The sequence below is a fragment of the Homo sapiens genome, chromosome 1, assembly GCF_000001405.40.
Source record: "Homo sapiens chromosome 1, GRCh38.p14 Primary Assembly".
NCBI classification, from domain to species: domain Eukaryota; kingdom Metazoa; phylum Chordata; class Mammalia; order Primates; family Hominidae; genus Homo; species Homo sapiens.
Genome location: NC_000001.11, coordinates 212,286,988 through 212,304,616, shown reverse-complemented (window position 1 = coordinate 212,304,616; position 17,629 = coordinate 212,286,988). Strand labels below are relative to the sequence as shown.

The 17,629-nt window shown below is 38.5% G+C and overlaps 1 protein-coding gene across 2 annotated transcripts in view; it reads right to left on the bottom strand.

Annotated features, from left to right (window-relative positions):
- Nucleotides 1-17,629, bottom strand: part of PPP2R5A (protein phosphatase 2 regulatory subunit B'alpha) — a 76,444-nt gene that overhangs the window by 57,237 nt on the left and 1,578 nt on the right. The window contains exon 1 of one of the 2 annotated variants that reach the window (NM_001199756.2): nucleotides 2,525-2,759. The exons of the other annotated variant lie outside the window; for it this stretch is intronic. Coding sequence (NP_001186685.1) covers nucleotides 2,525-2,534 — 10 coding nt within the window. The 5' untranslated portion in view covers nucleotides 2,535-2,759. Of the gene's footprint in view, nucleotides 1-2,524; nucleotides 2,760-17,629 lie in introns of those variants that run through there. 2 annotated transcript variants of the gene reach the window in all.

Genomic DNA, 17,629 nt, shown 5'->3' with positions numbered 1-17,629 from the left:
GTGAACGGCCACTGCACTCAAGCCTGGGCAACATAGCGAGACCCCATCTCTTTTTTTGTTTGTTTTTGAAATGGAGTTTCGCTCTTGTTGCCCAGGCTGGAGTGTAATGGCGTGATCTCGGCTCACCACAACCTCCTCCTCCCAGGTTCAAGCGATTCTCCTGCCTCAGCCTCCCAAGTAGCTGGGATTACAGGCATGCGCCACCACCCCGGCTAATTTTGTATTTTAAGAAGAGACGGGGTTTCTCCACGTTGGTCAGGCTAGTCTTGAACTCCCAACCTCAGGTGATCCACCCACCTCGGCCTCCCAAAGTGCTGGCATTATAGGAGAGCCACCGCACCTGGCTGACCCCATCTCTTAAAAAAGAGAAGTTAAAACATTTTTGGGAAATTCAAAAATCTTTGGAAATTAAGTGATTCTTAAACAACTAATGTGTCAAAGAAGAAACCTAAAAGAAAATAAAAAATACGTTGAGACAAATGAAAATGAAGACATAACATACCAAAATTTAAGGGTGTTTAGAGAGAAAGATATAGCTATAAATGTCTAGAGAAGAAAGAACAAAAGATCTTAAATCAAAAACTTAACTTTGCAATTATAAATAACCCAATAACAGCCGAAACAATCCTGAAAAAGAAAAACAAAGTAGGAAGATTCACACTATCCCATTTCAAAACTTACTATATAAAACAAGTAATCAAGACAGTGTGGTACTGACACAAGAACAGACATACAGATCAATGGGATAGAATTGAGAATCCAGAAATAAAACCATGTGCTAATTTTCAACAAAAGGGCCAAGACCATCTAACGGGGAAAGAAGTATTTTCAACAAGTGGTGTGGAGATAAATGTGATAACTACACACAAAATAATGAATTTGAATCCTTAAGTCATACCCTATATAAAAATTAACTAAAAATGGCCAAAGACCTAAATGTAAAGGTTAAAATTACAAAATTCTTAGAAGAAAACACAGAGTAAATCTTCATAGCCTCATATCTGGGAAAGGATCCTTAGAAATGACTCCAAAAGCACAAGTAACAAGAAAAAAGAGAATTTAGACTTACTCAAAATTTAAAACATTTGCGCTTCAAAGGATACCACCAAGAAAGTGAAAAGACACAAGGGGCTTATATCAAGGACATATAAAGAATTCTTACAACTCGATAAAAAGACAAATAACAATTCAAAAGTGGGCAAAGGATCTAAAGAGTCATTTCTCCAAGGAACATATACAAATGGCCAATAAGCATGTTCAAAGACACTTGACATCATTAGTAATTAGGGAAATGCAAATCATAACCACGAAGAGATACTAGTTCACATCCATTAGGATGGCTATAATCAGAAAGTCAAAATAAGAAGTACTGGTAAGGATGTGGAGCGATGAAAATCCTCACATACCACAAGTGGGAGTGTAAAATAGTGCAGCCACTATGGAAAAAACTGTGGCAATTTATCAAGTGACTAAGCCCAGAATTACCTTATGACCGAGCAGTTCCACTCCTACATATACCCAAGAGAAATGAAAACATATGTCCACACAAAAACTTGTATACAAATGTTCATAGCAGCATTATTCATAACCAAACAGTAGAAAGAACTGAAATGTCCATCGAGTGAGGAATGGATAAATAAAACATGGTATAACCATACAATAGAATATTATTCAGCCATAAAAAGGAATGAAGTACTAACACATGCTACAACATGAATAAATCCTTGAAAACATTATGCAAAGTGAATGAAAGAAGCCTATTACAAAAGACGACATATTATAATATTCCATTCACATGAAATGTCCAGAATAGGGAAATCTAGAGACGGAAAGTAAATTAATGGTTACTCAAGGAATCCCTAAAGGAATAGGGGGTGACAGTTAAAGGGCATGGGATATCTTTTTGAGATGATAAAACTATTCTAAAATTGACTGTGGTAGTTGCACATGTCTGTGAATATACTAAAAGCCATGGAATTGTATACTTTAAATGGGGAATTACATGGTGTATGAATTATATCTCAATAGAGCTGTTTTAAGCTCTGGTCTCTAAAATACTTTCAAATCAAATACCCAAAACATTGCTGAGAGACACTAAAAGTTTAAAGATCAATTGCAGCAATGCCACTGACCAATAATCATATAAACTTCATTCCACCACCAATGTGTATACAACACATACACAGAATCCACTAGTTTTGTCTTTATGTTTCCTATAACTTATAATACTAAATTAGATTAATAAAAATTTTCAAGGAACATGTAAATGAAATACTAAAACCAACACATAAAATGAAAAAGAGGTAGTAACAATAGCTTATTAAGATGGCCACAGAGGGTTGGTTTTAAGAACAGTTCACCGAATTTTTAATACAATACAGTAAGATAATTTGTAGTTTTCCCCTGTAATGTGGTTTTGCTTGTACTGTTTCAAATGCATCTTCCCAGAAAATCTAGTCTCTATTCATTTCTCTCCTCAAGATTTCAAATACCAAGTAGAACACTGAAATCTTAATATACATACTCATTATCATAAAGCCTTCCTCTTCTTGCCCTTCTTCATTAAATCAGTGATAAACTAAACTTCTGAGGTGATAACCAAGTTATTTCAAGTTGTTCATTGTTAATCCTCTACATTTAAGGATAAATAATTTGAAGTAGCAGGAATCATTTCTAACAAATAATAATTTTATAACTATAATTTTCCTTAGAGGAAAACATCCCTAATTACTGCTGCTAACATACTTGAAATCTAAAGTAAGATCTCATATAGGATTCATGCTACAAATTATAGAACAAGCACTGTATCATAGCAACCCAGCAATACCACTACAGTGACACGCTGAGGATGCAATCCAAGATTCTAATTTAAGAAACTGGCACAGAATATAGGACATGTAGCTTTTTTTGGCAATACCCCTAGAACATTAATAACTAAAAATCTAAAATCAGCTTTTATTTGAAACTTTAGAGAGCAGGCTATTATAAAGTAACAATGGAAATGTTTATTAACAAATGATTCACAGCACTGTGACTAAATATGACTTATTAAGGTTCTGTGATTTCATTAAAATTGAAAATGGTGGGAAAAAATTGTAGACATCGTATTTCAGGAAATTAGAACACATACGCACTGCCAGTTTGATAATGTTCTAATATATAAATGTATGTATTATTTTAAGAAAACCCCTACAATACTAACTAAAACTTTCAAGAACTTAAATACATCCATGTTTTAATCAATTACCATTCAAATGTAAGTATATCCGCAACTACTGCTATTTTTTATTTCAAAAAATTAACTGGGCTGGGCATGGTGGATCACACCTGTAATCCCAGCACTTTGGGGGGGCCAAGGTGGGCAGATCACTTGAGGCCAGGAGTTCGAGACCAAGCTGGCCCACATGGCGAAACCCCGTCTCTACTAAAAATACAAAAATTAGCCAGGCGTGGTGGCTCGTACCTGTAATCCCAGCTACTCAGAAGACTGAGGTAGGAGAATTGCTTGAACCAGGAGGCAGAAGTTGCAGTGAGGAGATTGCACCACTGCACTCTAGCCTGGGTGACAGAGCAAGACCCTGTCTCAAACAAACAAAAACAAGGTGTTCAAGTCTCTAGAGCAGGACCTAAGCTCTACAGACATCCCACTTCCTTCTACCATCAGCATAAACGGGCTTTGGGATGGTGGTGGTGGGGAAATCCAAGAACCCTGGAAATTATATAAAATATTATATATATTTTTTAAAACGGCACATTCTTTAAATTGGATTTTCCAAGAGATTCACATATAATTTCCATGAAATTAAATATTAGTACTCTTAGAAATTATTTCCTTTCCATTAAACGTAAGAAACTTATAACCAAGGTTTCAAATGAGTTGATTCAGTATTTCCAGAAATAAAAACTTTATTCACAAACAATTCTAAATTGATTCTAATATTTTTTCATTCAGAAATTTGCTATTTGTAATATTCTATTAACAGAAAATAATAGGCTATTGAACAACATACACAGTATGATCCCACTCATGGGAAAATATGGGAAGATGCTCAAAAATTTAAAAGAGATTTCCTCTGGGTGGGAATTTTTACTTTCTACCATTGTTAAGATTCTCCTTTGAGTTGTTTTAACAGTGAGTCTGTAAGTTTTTACAAAAATAATAAATAAATAATAAAATGGGGTAGTTTAAAATATGACACTTCCCATTACATATTCTTTAAATGAGTTTATTTTAGAAAACCATGAAAACTGAGATTCGCTGATGACTCACAGCAAGTATTGTATTATAACCTAAAATAGTCATTCCTGTTCTATAGAAGTTACTTCTCCAGATCTTAAAAAAATTAGTTCTTAAAAATATATAGAGAGTATCCAGGTGATCCAAATTAAAAACAGATTATCAAAACAGATGAAGTACCAAAACCAGTGACTAGATATACGGCAGCTAGGTGAAGGCTGAGTTATTTTTACCTTTCCTATATGAATAATCAAAATTTTTTATGGGCCAGGTGCGGTGGCTCACACCTGTTAATCCCTGCACTTTAGGAGGCAGAGGCAGGCAGATCACTTGAGGTCAAGGGTTCAAGACCAGCATGGCCAACATGGCAAAACCCCGTTATCTACTAAAAATACAAAAATTAGCTGGCTGTGGTGGCGGGAGCCTATAATCCCAGCTACTCGGGAGGCTGAGGCAGAAGAACTGCTTGAACCCATGATGTGGAGGTTGCAGTGAGCAGAGATCATACCACTGTACTCCAGCCTGGGGGACAGAGCGAGACCCTGTCTCAAAAAAAAAAAAAAAAGTCTTATGAAGGCAATATGACTGGGGAAATAAATGCATCTTAAAAGCACTTCATTGTCATATTTGCTACTTTATGTTCACTCTGGATTCAAAATTAGGTTGGTTCATTCACTGGAAGCACAAAAGTATGTGGAAAACTATTTGAGGAGATGACATCTAACTCTCATTTCAGCTTGTCTGGAAGTTTTAGTGGAAGAATAAAATCAGTCAAGTGGTAGATTAGCCCAATTGACTTTTATATCCCAGTCTCTGTTATCCTGACCTAACTTTTTTCCTCTATCAAATTGAGAAAAAATGATCAGAAAGATAGTACTATGCTAATGTGGAAGAGTATTTTAAAAAGTTTTCAAAAACTTTGTGTAAAAGGGGACCAGAATATACCCAACATTTCCAAAAGAAGCAAAAACAAGTAGATTCTAATCAGTTCTTGATAATCTACAATTTCTTCAAGCTAATTACAGATCATTATAACTTTGAGGGGTGACTCCAAAATCTAACTGTGACACAAATGTGCTGAATGATTAACAATTCACTTCATCTTAGTGAGGAGCCCCTCCGTCTGGCAACCACCCCGTCTGGGAAGTGAGGAGCGTCTCCGCCCGGCAGCCACCCCGTCCGGGAGGGAGGTGGGGGGGGTCAGCCCCCAGCCCGGCCAGCCGCCCCGTCCGGGAGGTGAGGGGCTCCTCTGCCCGGCCGCCCCTACTGGGAAGTGAGGAGCCCCTCTGCCCGGCCAGCCGCCCCGTCCGGGAGGGAGGCGGGGGGGGGGGGTGTCGGCCAGCCGCCCCGGCCGGGAGGTGAGGGGCTCCTCTGCCCGGCCGCCCCTACTGGGAAGTGAGGAGCCCCTCTGCCCGGCCAGTCGCCCCGTCCAGGAGGGAGGTGGGGGGGTCAACCCCCCGCCCGGCCAGCCGCCCAGTCCGGGAGGGAGGTGGGGGGTCAGCCCCCCGCCTGGCCAGCCGCCCCGTCCGGGAGGTGAGGGGCGCCTCTGCCCGGCCGCCCCTACTGGGAAGTGAGGACCCCTCTGCCCGGCCAGCCGCCCCGTCCGGGAGGGAGGTGGGGGGGGGTCAGCACCCCGCCCGGCCAGCCGCCCCGTCCGGGAGGGAGGTGGGGGGATCAGCCCCCTGCCTGGCCAGCCGCCCCGTCCGGGAGGTGAGGGGCGCCTCTGCCCGGCCGCCCCTACTGGGAAGTGAGGACCCCTCTGCCCGGCCAGCCGCCCCGTCCGGGAGGGAGGTGGGGGGAACAGCCCCCCGCCCGGCCAGCCGCCCTATCCAGGAGGTGAGGGGCGCCTCTGCCCGGCCGCCCCTACTGGGAAGTGAGGAGCCCCTCTGCCTGGCCAGCCGCCCCGTCCGGGAGGGCGGTGGGGGGGTCAGCCCCCCGCCCGGCCAGCCGCCCCATCTGGGAGGTGAGGGGCACTTCTGCCGGGCCGCCCCTACTGGGAAGCGAGGAGCCCCTCTGCCCGGCCACGACCCCGTCTGGGAGGTGTGCCCAGCGGCTCATTGGGGATGGGCCATGATGACAATGGCGGTTTTGTGGAATAGAAAGGCGGGAAGGGTGGGGAAAAAATTGAGAAATCGGATGGTTGCTGGGTCTGTGTGGATAGAAGTAGACATGGGAGACTTTTCATTTTGTTCTGTACTAAGAAAAATTCTTCTGCCTTGGGATCCTGTTGATCTGTGGACCTTATCCCCAACCCTGTGCTCTCTGAGACATGTGCTGTGTCCACTCAGGGTTAGATGGATTAAGGGCGGTGCAAGATGTGCTTTGTTGAACAGATGCTTGAGGGCAGCATGCTCGTTGAGAGTCATCACCACTCCCTAATCTTAAGTACCCAGGGACACAAACGCTGCGGAAGGCCGCAGGGTCCTCTGCCTAGGAAAACCAGAGACCTTTGTTCACTTGTTTATCTGCTGACCTTCCCTCCACTATTGTCCTATGACCCTGCCAAATCCCCCTCTGCGAGAAACACCCAAGAATGATCAATAAAAATAAAAAAGAAAAAAAAAAAAAAACAATTCACTTCATCTTGTTTCTCAGTACTCATTCATAAAACAAATGCTCTCATATTTTTTTGAGAAAAACTTTAGGTTACCTAAAAATGAGAGGACAGTGTTTCAAAGAAGATCAATGAAGCATTTTTATATCAGAAGAATTTAAGAAACAAAGATCCCTTGCTTTAACAGGTCTTAGAAAAATCTACGTTCAATACTGGCTTACTTGCCCAGCACCTATAGCCTAAGACTATACTACAGTCTAAAGGTCTAAAGACTACAGGCTCTAGGCTTAGTCTTAGTCTTTAGTTAGATTAAAGACTATAGTCTAAAGACTTACTCATTCAGCTTCTACAATTTCCACTCACTTTTCACCTTATGCAAATCTCATTTCAAGTTATCAAAAAGAAACGTATTGGCTGGGCATGGTGGCTCACGACTGTAATCCCAGCATTTTAGGAGGCCGAAGCGGGTGGATCACGAGGTCAGGAGTTTAAGACCAGTCTGGCCAACACAGTGAAACCCTGTCTCTACTAAAAATAAAAAAAATAAAAAAAATTAGCCAGGTATGGTGGCAGCTACTCGGGAGGCTGAGGCAGGAGAATCACTTGGACCCAGGGGGCAGAGGTTGCAGTGAGCAGAGACTGTGCCATTACACTCCAGCCTGGGCGATAGAGTGAGACTCCGTCTCCAAAAAAAAAAAAAAAAAAAAAAAAAAAAAAAAAAAAAAAAAAGAAGAAGCAAAGAAAAAGAAAAGAAACGTATTTCTCTTGATAAGGTTCTCAATTATAAATATTTCTCTGTTGCACTGTAAGGAAATAAGGTACTCAACTTTGCTTCAGTCCAGGCAACAAACTGGACTTCCATTTAATAGAGGAATCAGCAACCAACTGAGAAGAGCAAGTCATACATGACCGGCATAAGAATGTAACCTACCTAGGTTTTGGTTTCTTCACCTATAAAATGCTAACCAGTTTAGTGTTGCAGGTAAACATTACTCAGTTATAAATCACCCTAAAATTGTAAATTATTGTATGATATAAATGATGTTTTTCTTTCAATCAATTTAATAGCTTTTGCTTCATTCTTTCATTCAATAAATATAAAACAGCATTGACTATCTAAATCCTGTGTAGGAAAATATGGTCTTGGGTCTCAAAGCACTTATAGTCTAAAGACAAAAAGCAGGCACTTTAACCTTATTCAGGCAACTTGTCCCGGCATATTTTGTGCTCTCCTTCATGCACATAACAATGACATCTTATCATGCAGTGTACACAGAAGATGTTCTATAGAGTAGGGAATAGATAATCCCAATTTGGCCAGGAGACTAAGTGGCCAGCAACCCAAACTATCAATGTCTTCTTATAAGCAAATCTGAAAGTCTTGGCAGGCCAGTAAAGGTTAATGTAAAGAATACAGTTAATGTTTAGAAGACATTAGTAAAGAATATAGTTAATGTATAGAAATTAACAAATGGGCACTCTTTGATTCACATATGCAGTGATCTATTTGATATTTATAACTGGGTTTCTAAATGGCATCTCAAATTTAAAATTTCCAAAATACAACTCTGGATTTTCCCTCTATACCTGATTCCCCCTCCAGTGTACTCCTTTCTCGGTGGTGGGACACATTCCTATCCACCCAGGTGTCCAAGCTAAAGCACGTGAGAGTCATCCTTGACTCCTACACCTCTGCCTTTCCATCTCCTCCCAAACAATTCATTAACAAGGTCCTATCTAAGATATATCTCAAATGCATCTTCTTCTCTCCATCTTGGGCTACTACCCAGGCCCAAGTCACATAAAGTCTTACCTGGCTTATTAATCTCCTAACTTGTCCTCCTAAAAATCTTCTTCTGCTACAATGCATTCTCTACCCAGTAGCTATAGTAATTTTTAACTGCCAAACTTTCTGAAAGAGTTGTCCATACTTACTCACTCAGCTTTTACAATTTCTACTCATTATCCACCTTACACAAATCTCATTTCACATTATCAGTCCTCCAAACGCCTCTCAAGTCACCAATGTTGCCTAAAGACTAACCCACGGAAACTTTTCAGTTCTTACTTGACTTGTCCACAGTTATCCACTGTTACTACTTTCCCCACCCATCCCCCAGTTTTTAAAGACTCTCTTCCCCTGACAGCCTTGTCTCCACTCTCTCCTGTCTTCTTTGGCCTCCACTCCAGCTGTCTCTCTTGGCTCTTGGTTGTACCTTTTTCCCTTACCCATTATCTCAATGTTGGTATTCCTTGGAGTCTTCTCATTCTATCCATTTTCAGTGGGCAGTTGCTTCTACTTCCATTGCTCCAAATGCCACATGTAAGCCAAAGACTCTCAAATTATCTCTAGCACATTGCTCCATATCCAAATAATCCGCCTTCCTACTAGGCAGCTTCACTTCAATTTCCCATGGACACTTCGACCTGTCCAACAAAGAACCATTATCTTCTCCTCCCAAATCTAATGTCTTTTTTCCCTTTCAATAAACTGCTATCATACATCCAGTTGCCCAAGTTAGAAATGTATCATCGTTGATTGTTCCCTCTCACCAGATTTTGCCTATGATACCACCCCATCCCCACTTGGACAAGCACCTTTATCTCTTGTCTGGATTACTGTGTCAGTATCCTCACTAGTGTTACTCACTCTGATTTCCCAATACGTTCTTCATGTTACTGGCAGGTATGAATGCAATAAATTGCCTACATCCATTCTTCAACATAGCAACAAGATTACGCACTAGACCCTAAATGCTGTTCCACTTCTCTAGTGATACAGAATATACCACAGAGATATAGAATGTAACCTATATTCTAGATCACAGCTATGTAAACTGCTGGTAATTCCCAAAATATGCTATGCTCAATTACCTTTGGGTCTCCATATATTGTCTTTTGGGTGGACCTCTTAGCCCATCTATCTTGGCCTAACACCTTCTGGCCTTTTAGATGGCAGTTTACCTGTCACTTTCTCCAGGAAACTTTCCCTGATCACTCCCCTCCCCTACTAAAACGGGATTGAGTCCTTCACATACTCCCTTAACATTTTAGAGCTTATTCTTATCATGACACTGAACACATTAATTGCAACTGCCTGCTTACAAGTCTGTATTCACCAACTATAAACTCCTAAAGACATTAAATTTAAAAGAAAAAGCATTCATTGTTTTCACTTTACTAAGTTTTAATCTCTGCAGCGGTTCACCAAAATTTTATGCACTATGGAAAACCAAAGAAAGGAAAAGATTTCTGTACTAGATTTTTGAAAATAAAGTGTGTGTCTAATTTCACAGCAAACAAAATATTTTGCCACTGACCAATTTAAAGAAGAATGGTAGGGCACGTTTTTGTTGTTGTTTTTGTTTGTTTTAATAAAATTAGAAACATTCCTACAGAAGTTATGTCTTATTTTACTTTTAACTTCAATAGATATTTTTCTTCAGAAAAGCCTGTCTGAAAAGTTGTTTTAAAAATCTACCCAGTTTTGCTAATTAAAATTCAGGAGTTATAACAAAAACTGTCTCACCTTTTTCCCTTTTTCACTTTTATCAATTTAGAGGCAGGGGATTAACAATGAGTTCAAATAACCATTGACTTATGGTAATAGCTGTAATTATGGAATATCCTTGATACAATGTGAAACAAAGGCAAAACCAATTAGACAAAATATACAATTTTTTAAAATCTGCGTTCTGCTGAAAAAAAATATACAATTTTAGATTTGATACTACTGAACTGCAAGTTCTAAGCCATTTAAAAATTCTTGTTTCAGGTATTCAACCTCTTTTAGCTATTATCTAAATGGTTTATTCATTAACTAAGCAAAACCTGAGAGAATAAGGGTTTTAAAACCCTGTACTTTCCTCCCTACCTTAAAGAAAACTTCTCTGATGAAATGGCAAGATATTTATTAGAATAACAAGAGTGAAATCAATTCCCAACAGAGGCTAAACCAGAATGACTTCTGAGATCCCATTCAGCACTGGAAAGCTCAACTAGATATAACATCACAGTAAGGTTATATAGTAGCGGCAATTAGCATCACCATTCCAGTAGGAGGAGTGTGTTTCCAAGAAATCCCTTGTCTTCAGTATCCAAGTTAGACTACCCCCACCAAAAAAAAAAAAATTCCAGTATGTTTCTTCAGCAAACCCAATCAAAATTACAGGATTTCTAAAATTCTTCATTACTTACTTAAAAGTCCCACATAAATAAAATCCTTCAGGTAACAGTTCAAAAAGACAGATATAAAAACTAGGCTTGAAACTGCTTATTAGTCAACATCCTGCTCAGAGAAGTAGAGTTTATTTTGCATAATCCCAGTCTGTCATACAAAACTCTTTCAGCAAAGCATTTAGATTCCTTGTTACATAATAATACACTAAAAGTATTATATATTTCAAATCTGTTCCTTTTACCTCCTTCAAGGACATCCTTATAAAGAAAGATTGCATCTTAAACTTAGAAATTACTGCAAACAAATTGTTTCAGTTATTTTATACACACATGTCCATGTCTAGGAGTCAACCCAGTATTACTTTTCCTCACAAATCTTATACAATAACTTTCATAGCAACAAATCAATCAATAATGTTACATGTCACTCATACTGGTCATTGGCAAAATACAAATAATCTTTTGTTTTAAACCTACATTTACTATTTACTACCAAGATATTAAGGACCCAGAATTCATTTACTTTAAATCAAGCTTGTCCAACCCACCTTATTTTGTTGTTGTTGTTCTGTTTCGTTTTGTTTTAGGCTTTTAGCATCCTGAAGCCATGGTTTTTAGTTTCTGTCTCTAGTGATAAGCAGAAAAGAAGGACGAGGAAGGGGCTTTACTGGCACAACCAAAAACAGAAACTAAGAACCCATGATTGTATTCTCTCCCTTGGATTCCCCTGTTTTAAATAATCCTGAACCAGTTTTAGGCATAAATATATTAAAACCAAAAAACTGGGTGAGGCAGTGATTCACATCTGTAATCCCAGCTTTTGGGAAGCCAAAGACGGAGGATCACATGAGGCCAGGAGTTCAAGACCAGCCAGGACAACATAGCGAGAACTTGTCTGTACAAGAATAAAAATAAAAAACTTAGCTGGGTGTGGCAGCACACACCTGTAGTCCTAGCTACTTGGGACAATTGCCTGAGCCCAGAAGTTTGAGGCTGCAGTAAGTTACAATTGTGCCACTACACTCCAGCCTGGGTGATAGAGCAAGACCCTGTCTCAAAAAAATATGGAAAACCAAAAAACAAAACAGAAAAGAATCAACATCTGGTAGATAGCACCAAACATCACTAAAAGCAGCACAATCTAAAGGGGAAGGAGTGACTATAAGACAACCAACATATAATTTCTTCATCAAAACACTGACTCTGTCTCTATGACCACATTATGCACAAAATACTGTATTTGGTACCATAACAGGATTTGAAAAAACAGATAATGACTCTGCTTTCACAGAAAAATTCACCATCTCATTCTGGAGAGAGAGCATCACAACATAACAACTGAAAAGCCACCCAAACAACAAATCAACTAACAGAAGTATTATTCAAACCAGTTACCAGAAAAGACAAAGACAAAATAGGAATATGGAATATAAGCAGCCCTGAGTTCTCACTGCCCTGCCTTCGATAAAAAGTTGTGGTCAAGATTAAGTTAGATGATAGACACGAAAACACTCTGGAGAAAAACATTTCTTAATGTGAAATAAAAATAAGGCATGACCAAAAACGCAGTAAAGTTCAAGAATAGTTCCTTTGTTCAATATCTTGTATTTAACATATACAATGGTAGTATCAGGCCTAGATCTTCAAGAAACAGAACAGTGTTGTGAGCATACAGAGGAAACTAGTTTTACATCCCAAAGTGGTTGAAATCATTACTTATTATCCTGAATGATGGGATTAAAATTAGGCAAACCTCTATCACATGTTCTCGATTTTACCTGCCAGCTCCAAAAATCACAGAGAAAAGAAAACTGACCACCCTACATCAAATAATAGTTGGGCTTTAATTATGGTAATGACAATAAACCAGTAGAATCATCCCATCATACCTAAACTCCAGAATCTAATGGCAGTATCTCCCCTTCAGGAAAGCAGCTAATAAGCTATAGGGGGCAGCAAAGTTAAGAGAGTGAAATGTAAATAGCAGGAGGTGAAGCCAGGGCAGGAAATGTTAATAGGCTGGGTAATGAACCATGAGTATCAGAGAGAAAAGGACGAAGTCTCAATTAATGAATTAAATCAATAGACAGACAATGCTAACCCGGTGATTCTCAATCCTGGCTGCGCGTTAGAATCACCCTGGGAGCTTTTAAAAATACTGTAAGTGGATTTTACCTTAGGCCAATTAATTTACAATCTCTTAGGGATGTGCCCAGGTATTGATTTTTTGTTTTGTTTTGTTTTGTTTTAAACTCTCCAGGTATAGGCCGGGTGCAGTGGCTCACGCCTGTAATCCCATAACTTTGGGAGGCCAAGGCAGGCAGAACACCTGGGGTCAGGAGTTCAAAACCAGCCTGACCAGCCATGGCAAAACCCCTATCTCTCCTAAAAATACAAAAATTAGCTTGGCATGGTGGTGCATGCAAGAGAATCGCTTGAACCTGGGAGGCAGAGGTGGCAGTGAGCCGAGAGATCGTGCCACTGCACTCTAGCCTGGGGACACAGCGAGACTCAGTCTGAAAAAAAATAAAATAAAATAAAATAAATGACCTCTCCAAGTATAGCCAGGATTGGGAACCACAGTGCTAAACACATAAAAACAAACTAGTCTTTATCCCCAGCTTTTTACAAAAATCTAACTTTTAAAAATGAAACACAAAAATCTAAATGTGTTATTTCTGTTAGTAAACCTGTCTTTGAAATCCAAGGCAGCAATAACTCCTTAAAGACTAATTCATCTTTGTTATTTTATCAAGAGAAAAATGTTATTCTTGCAGGTGAAAATGGCTAAACTGAAGTTGAAAGGAATGAGTCATCACTGATGCAGGAAGACAATTTAAATCTACTGTTTACATGACAGTAACATACTACAATGGTTGCATTATTTTACCAAATACATTTTATTGGATTAGCACTTTATTCAGTTAGACACTTCATAAAATAATCCACAATTAACAATCAGATAAGGTAATAAAATGGAGAGGAGGAAGAGATGATCCTAAACAGGAATTCTAAAGATGTTAAAATGGGTTTAAATAGAAAAGTTTTTCCTTTATGTGAGGACTAGCAGTGAACACTTTATTTAGCAATTTCTCTTAAGAATATCCTAAAAATGTTTTAAATTTTTTAAAAATAAATCTTCCAGAAGAGATATCTCAGAAAATAGTCCTAAAATGACTAAAATGTTATTTCCTTTTGTAAACAATTTTCTTAACATCTTCAGATGAATTTGAACTCTCCTCTAGTGCCATCCCAACTGTGTTTAGATGGAATGATAGTAACTTTGAGAAGATCTATAAACCTTAAAAGTTGAGTGAGTAGTACGGTTTTCTCTCCACAAAAAGGTTTAGCTATAGAACTTAAGATAATGTCAGTGTTCTTGTTCCACAATTACCTTAGATCACCTACTTTAGAAAACACACACATTTTTCCCCCTAAAGGTAAGGAAGCACTGCAATCAACACCACTATTACTGGCCTCAATACCTCTAGTGGGACACAGTTGCTAAGAATGGACCAACAAAGAATCTTGAGTGCTACTTGGGAAAGTTTTACCTCTTCTGAAGGGGACTTCAATCTCAAAGCCAGTTTCAGCCTATCTTGCTATTTATTTCCCGGCTGTCTCCTAAGATGACTGCACATCTATATAATTCTACTGGTTAGGTTGATTTCTTCGCTTGGTAAAAAAATCTTATCACAGCTTTTAATGTTTTAAAGAGTCTGACTTAATCCTATTTCCATTTCTACACTCGTGCTGAAAGATGTTGCAGCTGCACTTCAGATCACATAAATCATATCTGAAAACTGATTATAAATAAAATCACTTTAAATACACTAGGAAAGTTTACCATTTAAGTAAGTAATCCTATTAATAATCCTTCATTTAAAAATATTTTTAATCTGGATTTTCAAATATTTAAGAGAATGGGAACTAACATTCTTTGCCTATTTTTAGGCACTTAAATTATTCCCCTTAATCCCCACAGGCCTGGGGAGATTTGTATTATCCCCATTTTACAGATAAGGAAAACGACTTAGAAAGATTAAAAATTTACCTTTGACCCAGGACTAACCCCAGAGACCCAACTCTATCACACTGCTTCAAATTTACATAAAACAGTTAACAGCACAAATACTGAAATCATTTGACCTAGGTCCCAGTGTCAGCTGCAACATCATCCAGATAAGTAATCACAGGCCAGAAACTATTCTTTTTAGGCCTCAACTTTCTCATCAATAAAATGGGAATACTGACCTTGCAAAAAGTTCAGGGATGACCCAATGAATAGGATGTTTGTAAAAATACAATGAGCCATGGATTATCAAACAACAGTATTACCCTTACTTACTAGGTGTGAAAAAGCAGGAGATACACAGGGATTAAGGGTTACATATCTTTGGATTGTTTCACTTGGTATGAACAATACTGTTTTATAATTTAAGAAAATTTTTAAGGTAAAATAATTTTAAAATGCTAAAATGTTATATAAATGTAAGGCATCAACTACTTTACCAAACCAAGCCTTCCAGAATCTTAAACAAAATAGGTTAGACTGAAAAGCCTTTTAACAAGGCTTGTTGTTTATTAAATACTTTCAATTATAAAACAATTTATTCTGAACATTTTTGCCATTAAAATCCCACAACCCACTTACTAAATTATTTTGCACAAATACTTCTTACAGGTGAAAAGGCTGGATTATTTTGTTAATCCTTACTATGGTTTGAGGAAAACTAGTTGGCACCTTTCCAGTTCAGATGCATGTGGTCAAAGTAACATAAGCAGGCTGGTATGAAACTTAAAAGATCTTGGAGTCCATGGATATCTGAATCACTCCACAGTAAGATGGTATTTCAGAGGAGGAAGAAAATTCTTTCTTTCATACACATACTAAAGGGCTTTCCATGTTTTTGTGAAGGCCACAAATGGAAAAAACTACCACTGGCAGAAAAAACACAACACTGTGGTATCAAGTACACTGCCAAAGTTCCAATTGAAGCAATTGAATGTTGGTGTTTTTTTTTTAAATCACTTGCAAGCATTTTGGCATCTGGAGTAAAAGAAGTTGTTCCTATTAGTTTGTAATCCAAGTAAGGGTCTTATTTCCTCAATTAAATTTGCATAAATTTATCCTGAATACATAATTTTCCTTATGATGAATACTGTATTTTCATGCAAATATCTACAATTAATGTAAAGTTCCAATTTACTTTCTTCTTTACTAGTGACCAAATACTATATGGCACCTTCAACTTGTTGAACCCTACATCATATAACTTAGATGATTACTGACTCTATGCATATTTTTCCAAGCTTTTAAAAGCAAAATGTGGCCAGGTGCGGTGGCTCACGCCTGTAATCCCACCACTTTGGGAGGCTGAGGTGGCCTGATCACCTGAGGTCAGGAGTTGGAGACCAGCCTCACCAACATGGTGAAACCCCATCTCTACTAAGAATACGAAATTAGCCGGCCATGGTGACACATGCCTGTAATCCCAGCTAGTTGGGAGGCTGAGGCAGAAGAATTGTTTGAACCCGGGAGGCGGAGGTTGCAGTGAGCTGAGATCGCGCCATTGCACTCCAGCCTGAGCAACGAAAGTGAAAAAATAAAATAAAATAAATAAAATAAAAGCAAAACCTATCAAAGCTGCATCTCCTGGCTTGAAACCAACCAAATGTTTAATATTCAATTACTTTTATTAAAGTATACTATTAAGAAGTACAATACTAAGAAACTAGAATATCTTACTAAAAAGCAAATTAAATAACTATGAAATAACCCTAGCACCAAACCTTCAAACTACAGTTTGACAATTTAATGGGAGAAAAAAAATCAGTAGTATAAAAAAACTATGATATTTTAAATAAGTGTAAATTTTAAAATCTATGAATAGCAAAGACGATATTCTTTTATAGCTATGACATCATTCAAGAATTAAAGTCTTGGCAATGCCTATCATTATAGTCTACCATTTTGCTATGTAAATTTTAACAATTTTTATATGCTAAAGAGCAATCAAATGATAAATTCGATAGCACAGACTAATATCTCAAAATCTCTGTTCAAAAGCCAGTTTGATTCTAACTGTGAGATGTCATGATTTAGAAGCACTCCAAGAGTCAGGGCAAGGTAGGGTCTCAATAGGGTTCTGGAGCTGTTGTAGGTCAACTGTGATTTGATCTGGGGTTTTCTTTAGACTCCTTGCCAAACTAAGGCTGGATTCACAGGCCCAAAGACAAATGAGAACCAGACTGGCCTTGAAGGGGATGCTGCAGCTTTTTCAAATGAATTGAAAAATCTGAACATCAGATGATAGGGATTTCCGTCAGGTTGCAAATTTTATCTAAATATGTAGGAGCATTATCATCTTGTTCCAACATTTCTATCTCATAAAAAGCAAGGACATTAAAATTATAAAATTAAGCATGAGTAATACACAAAGAATAAACTAGAACACCAGGAAATAACATCGAAAATCCTCTAAACCTAGTGGGAAAAGTGAGCCAAAAAGAGTGCCAAGTTCTCCTGCAAGGCATTAGGCACGGATACCAATTTGAATTCCTGTACAAACCTACAAAGTCCCTGGAATCACTGCCTGGCAAACTAAGTTCCCATTCGACTGCAAAGCAACACTACCTACTCCTTCGTATTTCCAAAT